The sequence below is a fragment of the Homo sapiens genome, chromosome 4 (genome assembly GCF_000001405.40).
Source record: "Homo sapiens chromosome 4, GRCh38.p14 Primary Assembly".
In the NCBI taxonomy this organism is placed as follows: domain Eukaryota; kingdom Metazoa; phylum Chordata; class Mammalia; order Primates; family Hominidae; genus Homo; species Homo sapiens.
In genome coordinates this window covers 153,925,702-153,939,558 of record NC_000004.12, presented here as the reverse complement: position 1 = coordinate 153,939,558, position 13,857 = coordinate 153,925,702, and the positions used below count along the sequence as shown (strand labels likewise).

The window sequence follows — 13,857 nt, the reverse complement described above, 5'->3', positions numbered from 1 at the left end:
TGATTGTGATTTTTATTTTCTGTAAAGCTATTTTCCAAATTTTAAACTCCTCATAATAGCATGATCCTCAGAACAATGGATTTTGTTATTGTCAGTAAGCCTTCATCACCTCCAGGTTCCGACATCACTAAGTTGGAACCACAGATAAAAAATTATTCCACGGAACACTGAAATCTTGGGAAGGCTGTGATCTCTTTCTTTGGTGATTGTAGAAGGCATTTATTCAGAAGTCCTAGGTAAGTTCTGGGCCCTCGATTAATAAACAAATGGATGGGTGGGTAAAAAAGAATGAATTGAACATGGAAAACCACCCATCATGTACAAATGCTCAATGATGTTAATGAATAATGGATGAGCTGGCAGCTCACGCACCGCATGTTAGACCGAGTGCTATGGCATGAGCTCCATGACAGCAGAGACCTCTCCTGTTTATATCTGTGTCCCCAGAGCTTAAAACACTGTAGCTCAATCAACTAAAAAGCAAAATGAAAATGTGACTGTCAGTGGATATTTTAGGGGGCAAATGTTATGAAACAAAAATAAAACAAAACAAACATTCCACCTTAACTCACAAAAGGTTATTTTCCCATCTATCTGGAAAGCTCAGGTTAGATCTTTAATAAAAATCAAAACTTTTAAAAATTGGTTTTAAAAACCTTAAGAGGAAGGTCTGTGAACAGAGAGCAGTAATTGATTTCTTTTTTTTTCTAGCTTTATTGAGGTATAATTATACATAAAAATTGTGTATGTTTACAGTGTATAACTACATATATATATATATATATATATATATATATATATATATATATATACTGTGAAATGAGCACCACAATCAAGCTAAGTGATATATCCATCACCTCACATAGCTATTTTCTTTTTTGTTGTGCTGAGAACATTAAAGATCTACTCTTTTAGCAAATTGCAAGTATACAATACAGTATTATTAACTACAGTCGCCATGCTGAACATTAGCTCTCTAGAACTTACTCATCCTGAATAACTATGACTTTGACCAACATTTCCCCATTTTCCTCAGCCTAAATCCACCAACCACCATTTTACTTTCTATTTCTTTGAGTCTCTCTTTTTTAGATTTCACATATAAGTGAGATCACATGGCATTTGTTGTTATGTGCCCAGCTTATTCCACTTAACATAATGTCCTCCAGGTTCATACATGTTGTCACAAATGACAGGATTTCCTTCTTTTTTATGGCTGAATAATATTACATTGTGTATATATGCCACATTTTCTTTATCCAATCAACCTTCAATGGACACAGGTTGATTCCATATTTTGGCTGTTGTGAATAATTCTGCAATGAACACGTGAGTGGATATACCTCTTCAAGATATTGCTTTTATTTCTATTAAATATATACCCACTCTGATTTATAGTAACCAGTTTACCTCCAGTTCATACCACACTTCACCGAGGAAGACTCGTTGACTATCACATCCAGACTACTCTAATAAGAAGCATCATAAGACCCTGGAATAATTTGCCCAAAGAATCTTGGCTATTTTCTATCTGCTTTTGGTAATTTCTATAAAAAGTAATTCTGGAAGATGCCAAATTTTAACTTCTATGCAATTCTCATAATTCTATTTTCACTGTTCACTTTACAACAAAACAAGCCAAGGTGACCACACCACTCTCCAAAGGAAGAAGTTAAAACCCCTTCCCAATAGGATCTTGGATTAAACTTAAGACCTGGACTTTGAGAATGTTCAGCTCAGGGAAATCTGACAGTATATGTATCTCTCTGCTGGATTCCACATGTCAACATATACATTTTCCATACAGCTATGAGTATATTCTACCACTATATGCTTAAAATCTAGCACTGTTTTTATTGCTCAAGAAAACCAGAAGATATTTATCCTCACATGATAATGGCTTCAGGACACAGGGGGCATTGGTGATGACCTCCAAATGAAACACACCCAGTGCTCCACGGCCACCCTTCCCCAGCCCAGCCCTGATGTTTCCCAGAGCATCTTCTGGTTACACTAACTGACAGCAACTTCAGACTCGCACATGGAAACTTACTGTTGCAGTTAGACTTTATCATCCCGTTGTTTCTTCCTGTGTAATACAGATAATCAACCACATGAAAACAGGGGCTGTGCAGAGCAAATACTATCAGATGGTCCATCAAAACCTACACTCATCAACTCCAAGAAATATAGATCAGCCTGTATTTCATCAATCTAACCTCGCAAACCCAGCCAGTGGCTATATATCTGGATTTCTTCCTCAATTCACATTGCTTTTTTATTGCTGGTTTGGGCAGTTTTTTCCACTGGATAAGTATTTGTGCTTATATATATTTTTTAATTTGATGAAATTTCTTTGCATGAAGTCTGATTTTGTATTTCATCATCTAATTCTAAGATATCTTGCTTTATGAACTTGAACATGCTGCTTTTTAAGGGAAATTAAAAAATAACATTACCTACTATTTCCAGGGACTTTATAAATATTAACTTGTTTATACATTTAAAAAGCCTACATGATATTGTTGTCTCTATTACATAAATGAAGAGAATGAAAATAATAGAAGTTAAATAACTTGCTCAAAACATTACACCACTGGTAAGTGTTGTTACAGGAATGTGAATAGAGATCTATCTGGTACCAAAGCCATGGTCTTTCCACTCCACCACACTGCCCCATCACAGATCTGGTTACATTGGGAGAATAGGAAACATAACAAGCCTATGAAGTACTAAGTGTTATCATTAAATTAGAATTCCACATAATACTTATAACAGGAATAATCAGGGTTCTCCTTATATTTTCTCCTAAATGTGCACAAACACAACTGTCTCAATGTCCTCGGGATTAAATGAGAGTCTATTTGATTTAGTAAACTATTATTAGACATTATTAGATTACATAGAGAGATACTATTATTAGATTATGTAGAGAGACACTATTGTATATGTTCATTGGAACTGGGGTTAAAAGACCTTTGAAAAATCCAGCTTCTCCATTTGATATCTGTGTGAATTTGCACACATTACTGATTATTCAGAGTTCTCTTATTTGTAAAATTGTGTTTGACAGAGAAGGACAATGCTTTCCAGATATACCACTCCACCTCCCTGCAGTCAGGGTGAGACCATGTGACTAACTCGAGCTGGTGAAATCTGAAAGCACACGACTTGAATCTCTACAGGTCAAGGAAGGTACAAACCAGTGTATCTCCTCCAGCCCTCCCTCAGCTGAAGCAACCTCAGAGGCCACATGTGTCAGATGTTCTATTTGGTATAGCTGCAAGATCGAGGTGGTTCATCCAATTACCATCACACTTTTCCTGAGGGAGAAAGAAACCTCTGTTGTGTTAAACCACTGACATTATCAGGGTTTCCCTGCTATGGCAGCTACAGTTAACTAACCCAACTAGTGCATGGGGATAATAGTTTCTGTCATACTACTTTAGATTATTGTAAGACTAAAAGAAGAATATTGAAATAAATATTTGTTAACCTTATCTTTACATGGATCTATGTAAGCCTTTATATAAGCCTTTACATAGGCTTATGATTGTTATTACACACATTTTTAAAATCTGACTTTATTACTCTGAGTTTTTTATAGTGTAATGATAATGTAAAAATTGTTTTAATTATCTTAACAATTATTTGTAAAAGAAAGTATGCTTCTGACCTGCTTAATATGTTGTTTTAAGTAAAATAAATGTTTTCTTTACCTTGTGGACACTATTTTCTTGTTCAACAAGCTTCCACAGAAGATAGTATAAACACAAGCTTTAGCTCAATTCTTATTGAACTACTACAAATATGCATGATCTTCTTTCTTAATTAATGAGGCCTCAATGGAGTTTACTTCCTAGGGAATTGCTCTCTTTTTCCTGATCATGTAGACAGCAGAAGACGGGAGAATTGGCATGCCCAATGGTTTTCACGAGATTAACACCTACAGAATAAATGCCTTTCATGCATATTAACATGGTACAGGACCTGGCTTTCAATCCCACTAACTATTGGCCTTGTTTGAAACAATGCCAATTCATTCACTAGGTATCAGAAAAAACAAGCCATGGCAAGTGAATGATGTCATGTTCCCTTTCTCTCTGTCCTTACGTATTTTTACTTGAATTTAGTATTGAGAATAGAACTAAAGTCAGAGACCAAGGTACAACAATGACCTAAATTCATGCACAAAAAGATACTACTTAGAGCTACAAAAAGGGCTTGTCTGGAGTTTGGGGAGGAGGTTGCTGCATTGAGAAAGAAGATAAACACAAAGAGAGCGAAGATAAAATATACAAAAATAGGTAGCAAATATTCCCTGTGAGACTGGGTGTGGTGGCTCATGCCTGTAATGCCAGCACTTTGGAGGGCCAAGGCAGGCAGATTGCTTGAGCTCAGGAGTTTGAGACCAGCCTGGGCAACATACCAAAACCCTGTCTCTACAAAAAATACCAAAAAATTAGCTTCTCTTAAGAGGCTGAGGTGGGAAGATGGCTTGAACCCAGGAGGTCAAGGCTGCAGTGAGCCGTGATCATGCCACTGCACTCCAGCCTGGGTGACAAAGTGAGACACTGTCTCAAAAAAAAATAAAAATAAAAAAATATACACACACACACACACACACACACACACACATTTCCTGTGAAACTTCTCCTCTTAAAGCCTTCCTTGTTTCATTTTGAAGAGGCAGGAGGATTCCAATATGAGGCAACAGTCAGACACGAAATTTGCTTCTTTCTCATGTTTCAGTTATTGGTTCATATAATTGAGTAAATAAGGGAGACGACACACATATGACACTAAGTTGTTATTATACACACATGAAGTCCCAGAAAACACGCTAGATGCTTGCTTTCAATGACTCAGTTTTAAAACTATCAAGAGCCACAACAAATCACAATGAAAGGCAGCAGAACCAGTGAGAACTGAAGAGAAAAGAGCCATGGAGAAGGGTGAAGACAGGGCAGGGAAGAGAAGGGGAAGGAGAGCACGGCAGGGAAGGGGCAGAATCCGCCACAGCACAGGCTGGGCTCTGCCAGCACCGAGGTTGAGCCCCATTCACAGCAGAGTTAATAGGAAGGTAGGAAGATAAAAGCTTCTCTGAGAAACCATGTTTTCTCTCAACAAGAATATCTGAATTAGGAATAAAGACATTCTCTGCTTCCTAGACTATTTTGCAACTACAAAAAAAGAAGAAGAAGAAGCTTCTATAAGCCTGCCAGAAATCTAGCTGACAAAAGTTCAAGAGCTTTTTTTTTCTGAATTATTGTGCATACACAGTTTTTTTGGAAAAATAAAGCAATCCATTAAAATTAAAAGGGTTTTAAAATGTTGGCAGAAGAAACATTTCATTGTCGCAACAAAGAGAACGCTGTTGAGAAATGCTTTACAAAGTGGGAGCTAAGGCAGTTAAAAATTGATTTTCAAAGTGGTTTGATTTTGGTCTACGTCACAAGCCGGCCCTCACATCCCACTTCCTGCTTTCCAATGTTCAGGCCTGGCCAGAGAAGCCAGGTCTCCTAGGGTACGTTTGGTGCAGAGCTTGAAAGCTCAGGTTCTCTGGGCCATTAGCCTAGCAAGCAGCCTAGGGGCAGACAGCACCTACAGGGGAGGCTCATTCAGGGCTCATGTCTGATCCTGAACCGATAACCTTTGCCTTGTACCCAGAGCTGACCCCTCACATCCAGAAGCAGCTGGGGCTCCCTTCAGTAGCTCCTCCATAATACCGCTGGACAAATTTCAGCAGAAAACTCAGACACAGGAAAAGGATACAGCAGCTTAACCTGGATTTTAAAAATAACTGCCGTTTTAGGAGTGGGTACGTGTTCTACTAGCTAACAAAGTGGGAAGCTTCCATTGCGAAGCCCTCTTAGGCCACCTAATCCCTGAGGAATTTGTCTAGTTTTTCCTCTTCCTCCTTCAGATCCCTGTGCAATAGCCCAGCTTTGAATCTGAAATGAAGCCCACAAGCAAGAGCCCTCGCCCATCTTTGTATAAGAAGGTGATTGCTTAGTACACACAAAACCACTACAGCTGGCCCCCTGCTCAGCCCTGTCCTGCCCTGAAACATATCCAAGCCTAAACAGTGGACAGTGACACATGATACCATTGATTGATTGGCCTCTAATCACCTGCTGTCTTATTTCAGCCCAGTTATGGCCACATTCACAGCCATAAAGCAGCGATGGCAAATAGGTTTCCTCTTGTGGGACAATTCTAATTGTTAGCCTCTTACATCTAAAATTTGTGTTGAAAAGTGTTTTGAGGACATATCTGCACTCAGGGAAAAGCATAACAAATAGGGGGAAATATATCACTTCACTTGAAAATTAGGGGTTGCAATTTTGTGACGAAACATCAAACTAAAAGGGAGAAGCGGCAAACCAGTTGCAGGTGAAATGAAGGGAAGGCAAGGAGGAGATGGCTGGTGCAGGTTGTCACTTGGTACAGCTTTTCAGGAGGGAAATTTGACAACACACATGAAAAAGACTTAATGATGTTCTCTAACGCAATCCTTTTACCTTTAGGAGCTTATTCTAAAGAAATCACTATGAATGCACTCAAAGATTCGTCTACAAATATGTTCATCGGAGTGTTGTTTATCACAGCTGAAAATTAGAATCTACCTAAATGTTTAAAAAGAGAGTACTGACTAAATTATGCAGCATACATACAATAAAATACTATGCAATCTTTGAAACTATACTATAGAGAACTACTTAAAAGATATGGAAAATACAATATATTTTCATGAAAAAGCATTCAAAAATAGTATGCATAGTGTGATTCAAATTTATTTTAGAATATAAAGCTATATATGTATATATGCTCCAAAATTCTAGCTCTGAATATCCTAAATTTTCTACAATGATTAAGGGTCACTTTTGTGATAAGAAAGTAAATCTTACCTGTTTTAAAGACAATAATAGACAAGCTATAGAAGCCCTGAATATGAGCATCCCACTTTATTTCCCAAAACTGTAACTTAGGTGGCTGTAAAGTGGAAAATGTATACAAAATAAATAGAAAAATAGGTAAGTTATTCAATGTATGCTACTAAAAACCGTGGTGCTACTAAAAGCCGGGCGTGGTGGTGGGCACCTGTAATCCCAACTACTCAGGAGACTGAGGCAGGAGGATCACTTGAACCCCGGAGGCGGAGGTTGCAGTGAGCCGAGATCACGCCATTGCACTCCAGCCTGGGCGACAGAGCAAGACTCCATCTCAAAAAAAAAAAAAAAAAAAAAAAAAAGAAGCCTGAAAGTATCCCAGAAGCATATCCAGGCTCCAGCTGGCTGTCTCAGCACACATAAGCAGTTAAATGGAACAAGACCAGTTTCATCGGTGTCAGAATTAATCTTTTTTTTTTTTCTGGTGCTTAACTGTCTGAAATAACCACCATAACATACTTAGAATAATGACTTTATCAGGATCACTGCTAAGTGACTTAATAAAAAATAAATTGTCCATAACTGAAGGACTCTGAGTACACATTGCTAAGAAGTGGTTATGCAATCACTCAAATGTGAACTGCAAGGTTTTCCTTGAGAAGACTGTCCTGCCTTTTTTAAACAAGTGAAATTACATCATACAATCTAACAGACTAATGGCATTGCTCACTATATAAGATGGGGAATTTGCATTCCATCTTGAGCACCACTGAGCCCTAGGCTGCTTGGTGGCATGCAGTTCCTACCTCAGCCCCAGCGGTGTGATTTCTAAACTGTGGCAAATAATTCTTGGTCACCTACTTATTCTGCCCCTGAAAGATTAATATGGTTGAGATCATGTCTGAAAAAATGTTATTTGGAAATCTATCAGTACTGGGTGCCTTTTTATCAATCAGAAAATTCTCTTTTCCTCTTGTTGTAGTTTGTACAGTAAGTTCAATCAACAAAATTCTTCTTCTAGTTTACTATTATCTCATTTTCCAGGAAGATTTAACCCTTAAGTAATTGATGCAAGTGTATTTGTACATACCTATTAAAAGTTGTATTGAGTCTACTTATGAAAAAGCATGAGCTAGCTTAACCTAAATTTTCCCATAAAGGGGGAAAAACAGGCACATTGATTTAAGATCAGATTCCTACTAGATTATCTGCAAGTGAATGGCTAGTGTATGACCTGCAGTTAAAGTGAACAGTCATTTTTCTAATTAAAATATCCAGATATCCAAAATGAAAGGTAAATTAAAGAGGGAAGAGACTTCTAGTCCCACAATCCCAATTAGCAGAAAAAAAATAGAATTTCCAGACTTAAAGAACTACAAGAATCTTAATTTTGAGAATGGGGAATTTGAAAGTCAAATAAATGAAGTTAGCTTTGTGGGCTACCAATTTATTCTTGGCAAAATAAAATGTCTTGAGTGACCCATCCACAACAGATTTCTTAAAGCTGACATTTTATCTGAAATGGGGTGTTCTAGAAGAGAAGAGAGAATTGTTACCCCAAACCCTGAGACATGATATTGGGTATCCCTACAGGGAAGGACCTCCAACAGCCCAAAAGTACCTATCTCTCCTTCCAAAGACCCTGAATGCACTACCGAGTATCTTCAGGATGATGCTCCTGCAGCCCTGCCAATATATTCACTTCCAATGTCTTTATTGGAAGGGGGCTCTTCTGGTCACAAGTTTGTTGAATGCATCCAGTGATATTATTTATGCTTAATGCCAGACTGCCTGGAATCAACAGCTTAAGTGCTGCAACACGGTACAGATCATAATATTCGGGAGCAGAGGTGCTACCTGGAATCTAAACCAAACCTAAACCCTTTATTTTACTTCTATGCCAGGCGCCAGCTCATACTACTCAGACATTTAAATGCTTTTTTTCCATAATAACACATACGACAGGATTTTCATGCTTGTGTCCATGTGTACATTTACTGTCATCTTATAAGAGAGAAGTCTACTTGTATATATATTTATACTTGGCTTCTTGATTGCCAAATCTAGAAGCAAATCTGTATACATGGCATATAATTCAGCCTGTAATCATTTCTAAAGCTAAATTCAGCTTTAGCTCCATTGGTTGCCTTGTAGTCGTGCTTTTGTTTTGTTTTAAAATAGCACTGATAATTTTTAAATATCTGATATTAGTGTTTCATGAAACTGTTTTCCCTAACCTTCCTTAAAAACATGAATTTCAAGGGTAACAGACAAAAATAATAGAATTTATGCACAACAAACAGAAAAGCATGTGAGTATGTGTTTTTGTGTGTAAGTGGGTGGGTAAGTGAGAAAGAGAGAGAGAGAAAGCTACAGGGTAGAGAAACGCCCTCAGACAAATATCTCAGCCTAGTGCTTGCTCCGAAAGATATCACTTGAAGAACTTACTGAGCAGTTTGTCATATGTTTCTGTAGGTAAACAATGGAATTCTACTGCTGCTATGGAAAAATACCTGAGTCCATGTGGCTTGGTTTTCATAGAAAATAATAAACAGGGCTTCTCCTCAAAGGAGCATCAAAAAGAACATGAAGAAACATTCAATTCTCCTTCTATAAGATAAATCCCTATGAAAGCGATAGTTCAGCTTGCCGATGCTGCCGCTTGTGCTGGTTCAGAAACTGCCATCACTTCAGCAGACGGCCAGCCCTTCCTAAAAGGGAATAAATCAGAAGGCATAGGTCTTTTCTCTTTGGCAGCCTGACCCTTGACCCCCTTTCCTTCTCCCAGGCAGAGGTCTTTTAAAATTTCTTTTCATTTTTGTTCTGGATCACTGCCTCCATTTGTTCTGACTCCAGAGTGGCTGAGCTTGTCGCCAAATCCAAAGGCTCCAAGAGAAAGCCTGAAGTTTCTCTAGCCTTAGAGGATTTCCCCACAGGCATCTCTTTGTAAAGAGATCAACACTTCAAAATTATGGTAATTGCTAGCCCTGTTGCTAGACATTGTTATCGGATGCCTTAACAAAGAAGAAACATGTTAACATAGCACAAGTTTGTTTTTCTTAATATTTCAATAATTCCCTTCCAACATGTCTTGTTTTTTTTTTCAATTTATGTAGTTTATCGTATGCATTTTAAAAGATCGTTCTAAAAGGGTCTGCTCGACTGCCAAAGAGGTCCATGCCACACAAAAGCAAGAAACCCTGGCAGTGAAAGATTTCTGACCAGAGTTTGCTCATGGTTTAAATGGAGGCTGATATGGTTGGAAAAATCTATTGTTTTACTTAATCTCTTTTTCTGCAAGTCGTTTTCAATATTGTCCAATGGATGTTCCATTTTATATTCAAATATGAAACTTCCATCTTTTTCTGGTGAGATACAGAAACAAAAGCAGATGTTTGCTTCCTGAGTTTGGATTAAGAAGTAGGTTTCTTAAAGCAAGTGCTTCAAGATGCACCTGAGAAGTACCCCCATCACCCTTGCTGCCACTTTAAACATGGCATGCTTTCTCTGTTCCTCCCGGTTTAGAGGTTACAGCTAGGTGTCCTCATGGTCTTCTGAGCTCTCCTATTCTGCACAGTATCACACAAAGATGGGCTAGATCCCCTCTGAGAGGGGAACAGACATGTCTTCATTTACTGGGACAGGCTTCAGTTAAGCCATGCTGCTAAACTTCATGGTAACTTCTAGGTTAAATTAACTGTTTACTACCTTCCTTTTACAGGCTTATAAATATGGTCAGTATGGATTTTTTCCCACAACACTTGACTACAGGAAATTTCCGATTCATTTGTTTTTCTAAATCAAATTAAATCTGCTCTAAGCTCTTACCCAAAGAGCCTAGTGACAAACTGGGCGCTCAGTATTAAGAATCCCTCCCCACCCTCAAAAGAATCACACTCAAATATGGGGCGCTAAGGAATCATACTCAAATATGGGGTGCTCTTAGTGCCAGCAAACTCTGAGCAAGGTGTCAGTTTTAGGGTTGCCATCATTCCCACTGTTCCTTCCCCTAGCTGATGCGCCTTGGCTCCCAGGAAGCCCAGAGATTGCCCCTCAGCGGGCATTCCTCTGACCATAGCCTCGACCTCAGAGAGCCTCACCACTGAGGCTGAAGGGCACAAACTACCCCATTGTCAGGCCTCTCATGCCCCCACAGACAGGCTGCTGCACAAACACAGACAGCCTCCAACCCAATCGATCCACACTCTCCTCTCAGAAAATCTACCCTCCGTGCAGTGTGCCTGCTATGACCTCTGCCTCCTAAAGTACCATCGTCCACCCTCTCCCCCCAGCAGAAGAGCCAAAGATATCCTCTCGGTGAACCCAGGCTTTCAAAAACCAGTGATGAGGTGGGTGGTTGCCTTTTGGGTGACTGGAAATTTCTCCTTTTAGCCTGTAACCCCAAGGCCCCTGAGCTATGGGAACATAAATGCCTGGCTACATTACGTGGATAAAAGTAAAACCCTACAGCAATAGAAATGAAACCCAAATTAATATTCCAATATGCAGATAGCTTGCATACGAAAGAAAGCACACAGGCTAGAGATGCATTTCTAGAGAAGATTAATTAGGTATGAATGTTTAGCTATAGAGATAGAGCTATCGTAGGTACAAATTGTAAATTATATTTTGGATTTGAATTGATTCATTATCTGTTAAGCATGTACACACACACACACACACACACACACACACACACAAAATACACTTTGGTTTTTACCAGTCTCAGAGTAGAGACCCAGTGAAATCCAGTTAGCAGACAAAGGTTACCATTATTTCGAATGAAGCATCTTGGAGAGGCTATGCAGCCAATGACGCATCTGGACATCATACTAGGTAACACAACAATTGTTTAAAGATAGCAACAACAACAAACCTCATCATGCCCATTCACGGATCTCTACTATTCTAATCAGGCCATGATGAATTTCTAACTGCATTCCCACTCACAGACGAAAAATATTTCCACTCTATGGTCATTACTCACTCTTAAAAGATTAACAAAAACGAATACCCACCACAGTTATGAATGTAATTCACTGGAAGAATGGTTTGAGAAAGCTAGCCACACTGGAAGATATTACTTTTTAAATTAATGACAGAACTGAAGATTATTTTCAGATTTGGTCAGCATTTTTGAGAAGTAATGTTTAGCCGGGGTGGGAAAAATTCAGATTAATATAAAGTGTTTGCATGTTATGAGGCAGGATAAGCTCAACCCAAGGCTGGGACTTATTATTCAGCCTCTCACCAACCGCTTTACTAGCCAAAAGGGACACACAAGGTCAGACTATGCTGTAAAACTTGGGGGATTAATAGAACTGCTACATTAAGGTCCCAGTTACATAGACTCATCACAAATAAGAGCTACTAATAACAGCTAACCTTCACTGAGTGCTGACTACACCAAGCCACTGGGAAAAGCACTTTATATATACTATTGCATTTATGCCACATAACCACCCAATAAAGGAGGTATTATTATTATGGGGGTTGTTGTTATTAATCCCACTTTACAAATGAGGATATTTAGGTACAGAGAGATTGAGTAATTTCCCAGTGGATACACAGCTGGTACATAGTGGATTCAGGATTAGATTCTAGAGTATATGTCTAAGAGCCTATTCATTTTAACCACCATTCAATGCTGTGGCAAGGATGAAAAATGCACCCACTTACACATACTCGCTTGAAACTCCTCACAGATATACACAAGCATACATTTGTGTAATGTTATGCATCACTTTTCACAGGCTTTATACTTAATCTTTGCCTAGTAATAGGTCGGTGAGTTCATTATCATAGTTCATTCTCACCTAGTGACAATGACAGCTAACCTTTATATAGCATTATATGCCAGCCTCTGCTCTAATACTTCACATGTATTCATTCATTGAATTTTTTTTTTTTTTGAGACAGAGTCTCACTCTGTTACCCAGGCTGGAGTGCAGTTGTGCCATCTCAGCTCACTGCAGCCTTCACCTCTCAGGTTCAAACGATTCTCATGCCTCAGCCTCCCAAGTTGCTGGGATTACAGGCGCAGGCCACCACATCTGGCTAATTTTTGTATTTTTAGTAGAGACAGGGTCTTACTATGTTACCCAGGATGGTCTCGAATTCCTGAGCTCATGATCTGCCCACCTTGGCCTCCCAAAATGCTGGGATTAAAGGTGTGAGCCACTGTGCCCAGCCTGAATTCTTAAAGCAATCTTATGAGGCACTTATTATCATCCCCATTTCACATATAAGGAAATTGAGGCATAGAGAGGCTAAATGACTTGTCCAAGGTCATACAGCTAGAAAGTAGCAGAGACAGAATTTGAAGCCACTAGGTTATACCACGAACCTGAGGAAACAGGCACTATTATGCCTGTTTTATAGTTGCAGAAGCAAATTCGATAAGATTGGAGGTGACTTGTCTCAAAAAGGTACTGTCAATTTATTATTAGTTTTAGAAAGTTACAGAACATTTAATAAAATAACATTCCATTCTGTAAATGTGTGTGTGTGTGTGTTCTCTGTGTTTGTAGTAGGACTAAATAGTGGCTACATGTGTATGTGAATACATGCAAACATCTCCATACATATTCTCACAAAACCCTGGCTTTCTCTCCACTCTGTGTCCCATCTCACGCTGTGCTGCTACTAAACCTTGGCCATTCTTTAAAGACTGGCTCAAAATTCTCTTCTTCACAGAAGCTGTGCCTGGCTATATAAGCTCCCCAAGTTCCATTCCTAACCCCACAAAGAAAAATCATCACTGTGTCACATGTATTTGAGCAGTGCTATCAACCTAACCAAAAGGTCTTTGAGAGGAGGGCCTTAAATGTTTTTTAGACACTCACTTTCATCCCCTGCACACTCCCGCAAAGCCTGTCTGGCACATACAGTGCTAGGGCCATAGAAGAGAGCTGTAAGACCCTGATAATGCATTACTGATTTCAGGTAGGCTTGCCAATAGTAC

At 39.0% G+C, this 13,857-nt stretch overlaps 1 long non-coding RNA gene across 1 annotated transcript in view, besides 1 other annotated feature; it reads right to left on the bottom strand.

Moving 5' to 3' along the window:
• The window catches only part of LOC101927947 (uncharacterized), a 469,997-nt gene that overhangs the window by 359,261 nt on the left and 96,879 nt on the right, over nt 1-13,857 (bottom strand). The gene's annotated exons all lie outside the window — the stretch shown is intronic.
• Nucleotides 5,105-5,604: an enhancer, noted in NCBI's record as "H3K27ac hESC enhancer chr4:154855107-154855606 (GRCh37/hg19 assembly coordinates)". NCBI's record gives its function as "activates a minimal SCP1, AML or CMV promoter by ChIP-STARR-seq in primed H9 embryonic stem cells {active_cell/tissue: H9 hESC(primed)}" and the evidence as "EXISTENCE:reporter gene assay evidence [ECO:0000049][PMID:30033119]".